This window comes from Homo sapiens, chromosome 16 (assembly GCF_000001405.40).
Source record: "Homo sapiens chromosome 16, GRCh38.p14 Primary Assembly".
Taxonomy (NCBI): domain Eukaryota; kingdom Metazoa; phylum Chordata; class Mammalia; order Primates; family Hominidae; genus Homo; species Homo sapiens.
In genome coordinates, this window is record NC_000016.10 from 71,255,278 (window position 1) to 71,259,617 (window position 4,340).

The 4,340-nt window shown below is 39.0% G+C and overlaps 1 annotated feature.

The window, feature by feature from the left end:
• Positions 508–744: a silencer, noted in NCBI's record as "fragment chr16:71289688-71289924 (GRCh37/hg19 assembly coordinates)". NCBI's record gives its function as "represses an EF-1alpha promoter that drives an FKBP-Casp9 reporter gene in an ReSE screen in HepG2 liver carcinoma cells {active_cell/tissue: HepG2}" and the evidence as "EXISTENCE:reporter gene assay evidence [ECO:0000049][PMID:32094911]".

Genomic DNA, 4,340 nt, shown 5'->3' on the forward strand with positions numbered 1-4,340 from the left:
AAAGGGGAAAACATAGGCCCTAGAGTAGGGCCACTTTGGGTAGGAAAAAAAAGTGCAAATGTATTCTGAAAGCAGATGGTGTCTGGAAGAGAAAGTGTGTTTGGCAACAAGAAGGGAATCACAGGGGAAGGAGAGAAAAGCAGTAAAAGAGAGACAGCCAAAGGAGGTGGTAATTAAGTGCAAAGCTGAAGATTTCCAAGGGATTTTTCAGCATTGGCAAGAGTCGGGCCTCTGGACAATTCTGTGGAAGTGTGTAGAGATTGTTTTTCATTTCTTTTCTTTATTAAAAGTATTCCACTAGAACAGTGCCTCTGAACCATGATATTCTGACAAGAGTTTGTTAGCAATGCTCCAAGTATTAAAGTTTTCCAATAATTTACTTTTCTTTATAAAGAGGAGCTGAGGTTGGCTGTCTCCTTGCTGCCATTCTAATATGCTTCCTAGGGTGGGAGACAAAGCCACAGCCAGCCAGGGTTGAGCGAGTTGTGTACAACCCACACACTATTTGTCTCGCCACCTCCTGACACTGTCACTCTTCTCCGGGCTCTGGAGCTTCCTGTGGGGTCACTGTCTGTAACAGACAAGAGTCACACCCTTCTCAACCCTTTTACAGCATTAACCAAGGCACAAGCGTCTGAACTGTCCAATAACAAAGAGATTAATTGATGGATTGTTTTGTACCAAACTGCTTGCTGCCACAGCTGCTCAAAATGTTAATAAGCACTGCTGAACTATGGCCGCTCCAGCAGGGAACAGCTGTAGAGGCTAGAGGCCAGCTCCCCTGCCCAGTGAGGGACAGATGTCCTTATGTCTATATCGGCCCCTGTGCTCAAACCAGCAACAGTTCACAGACAGGATTATGAAAGGTTTTGCATTTGGTCCTAAGTAATCTTTTAATGTCACATAACCTGAACCAAAGCCAAGAATACATTATGACAGTACAAATTATCAACTCTATCTTTGAGATAAGATGTATATTATGCACTAAACTCAAGGTCAGGAGACAAGTCTTCTACTCCAGACATATCAAAGCCTTTCTGGGTCTTATAAAATGGGGCTTGTGATTCAAGTTTACTTTCAACAGGAAGCTTTTGGTTTAAATGAGTTCAAACATTGCATGTAAAGCGCTGAGACTTCAGATACTTGTAAAATAAGCTCAAGTTTAATCTCACATTATATATATATATAACGTATAATAAGCTCAAGTTTAATCTCACATTTTATATCTATACATACAATATGTGTGTATGTATGTGTGTGTGTATATATATAGATATGGAATAATAAATTAGATAGTCCTTTCTATATTCCACCTGTATCTCACTTACCCCACTTGAAGGTAGAGTTCACTTGTAAATATGTCAGCTGCCTCTCTCAGATAAGGACTTCTTTTTTTTTTAACATGACTACAATGACTTTGTCACGTATAACAAAATTAACAAGTCCTTGATATCATCTAATTCTCAGTTCATATAAACTTCCCCCAACTCTCTCAAAATGTGTTTTTACAACTGGTTCATTTGAACCAGAATACACACAAGGTTCACTCATTGCATTACATACACACACACTCACACACACTCATACACACTTACATATTTTTCTCTAGTTCTATCCACTAGGAGTGTAAAAGGGGCTGGGAGCAATAATGCCCTAACGGTAATGACACCTGATCTTGGTTTCTAAATACTATTCTTTACTAAAAGGAATCAGAAGTCCTTGGAGAAATGTCTGTTTCAAGAGTTGGAGTAAAGAGAACACCAGATATGCCTGAACATGCTGAGCCAGAAAGCAAGGATGCACTCATGCACTCAAAGAAAGATGGGGTGTGCCAAGTGGACACAGAAGCCAGATTGATGGAGGGCTGACATTTCTAATCTGAGAAATGTGAGCATCAAAATCAATGATGATAGTAACAAATTATCTACAACTCATTGAATAAAATGAGAATCCAGGAGTCCAACTGATATAAATAAATGAATAAAATGAATGTTTGACGAGGAACAGGATATTTAAATATTTTCAAAGTATCTCCTCATAAAATACTTGTTAGTTACAAAGAGAAGAGAAACTTCACAGTGAAGAAGGCTGACAGGCACTGCCTTAATCAAGTGATCAAAGTGAACCTCATCAGAGATGGGACACACCAAAACAATGTTTCATGGGATAATAAGATGCAAAAGGAACAACACAGCTTCAGTTCTGTGATATTCCTTCCAAAACTGCACGACCTGAATCTCATCACAAGGAAGCATCAAACAAATCCAAGTTGAAGGACAGTCTACAAAGTAACTGACCTGTAATCATCAAAAGTGCCAAGGTCATGAAAGTCAGAGATTAAGAAACTATTCCAGAATGAAAAAGACTAAAGAAACTTAGGAAATAAATGCACCACATGATTGCAAGAAAAGGATCCTTTTGCTACAAAGGATGTTATTGGAACAACTGGCTTAACAGTGTTAAATTTCCTAATTTTACTGATTGGACCATGGTTATCTAAGAGTGTCCTTGTTTGTAGGAAATGCACACTGAAGTGTTCAGGAGTGATGGGCATCAGGTTGGTAACTGACTCTCAAATGGCCCAGGAGGAAAAAAGTAGTTTCTTATGCTCTACCCTGACATCTTCAGTAACTTTCAAAATCAGAAAAAGAAAAAATAAAAATACAAATACAAAGAATAACTTGCCTCATCAGCTATTTTTCCCTGAATAGAGTTCATATAGAAAAAAACAGAATAAATTCTTGATTCTGAACCTTCATTAATTTCCAGAGTAATGAGTTGGTACCATAGAAATTTAGAATGACAGTTTTCTAACGTATCATAATGAGCTCAGATATTTTTATGTTTGATATGCTTCAGTCAATTGCAGTGATTATTCTTTTTGATTCTCGTAATTGTTCCTGTTCCATTCACCACAACTCTGGCAGTCAATGGTTTTCTTCCTTCCTGAACATAACAAAAGGTTCCAGGTTCATCATTTACATTTCCTACACCAAACCTGGAATCAATTTTTAGACCTTGAATTCAGAGGAGAATTCCTTCCCTTTTAAATGAACGTAATTAATTCCTCTTTAAAAAAATAGATGGGCATGTTGGCTCACACCTGTAGTCTCAGCTACTCTGGGAGGATTGCTTGAGCCCAGAAGTTCAAGGTCAGCCTGGTAAACAAAGCAATAGGGAGAAAAAAATTCAGAACACTGCATTTTCTCAACTCCCTTGAAATTTGTTCCTTTTTTTCCCCTCAAATGTCTGGCTAGTTTTGGACTCCTTCCAAGAGGAATGGCACACAGAAAAGAGCTTACTCCAAGTCAGACTCTGTGGGCATGACAACCACCTGCTTCTTAGTGTAAGGAGAAGCTGGTAGAGGAGGACTAATCTAATCCTTTTATTAACTCCCTTGAATCAGAAATGACAGACAGTGATTAAATTTTGTAACTTTTCTCATTGCAAGCACTGAGAGACGGATCAGTGGGTTGACTTGTTTGTTTTATTTCTTCAGTAAAAAACCTGTACAAGTAGTAAGCAGGTCAATTTTCAGAAGCCTCTCATCCTAAAACGAGAGCTGGCCAGTGTTGCATTGTTCATCCCAGCCTCCCAGTGATCAAGTGAGGTCTTCATTATTTTGATGGAAGGAAGGAGAAAACAAAATCCACTCACTGATGCTAGAGAGAATTCATTCACTCATTCACGCACCCATTTAATTGAGAATCCACTACGCGCTGTTCTTAGTACTGAGGATATGCAGCGAACACAAAGAATAAACTCCTTCCTCTGTGGAGTTTACTTTCTAATGGAGGAAATAGACCATAGCAAGATAGATAAGTAAATTATAAAGTGCAGGAAAAACAAAGCATAAAAGGGCAATGTAAGAGAGATACAATTTTAAATAAAAGGTTTCGGGGTGGCTCCCACTAAAAAGGCGACATTTGAACAAACACTTGGAGGAGGTGACAGAGTAAGCCATGTGGTTTTTTAGAGGCAGAGAGTTCCAGGCAGAGGAAACAGCTTGTGTGAAGATCTTGACGTGTGAAAGTGCTTTGAATATTTGTGAAATTGTAAGGAAGCTGCTGTGGCTGGATGGCTCGTGCAAGGTGAAGAGAGAAGGCCAAAGACAGAATGTGAGGGCTGGGGACACAAAGCACCTAGCGCCTTGTAGGCCATTTTAAGGACTTGGACTTTTGCTCCAAGTGACATGGAAATTTGTCTCTGGTTTTTGAACAGAGGAATGACTTTACCCAACTTATTTTTCAATGAGATCACTTTGGCTGCTGTGTTGGGTATAGAATGAAAGGGAGCAAGACAGACACAAAGACACCATTAGAAAGCTATTGTAATGGTCT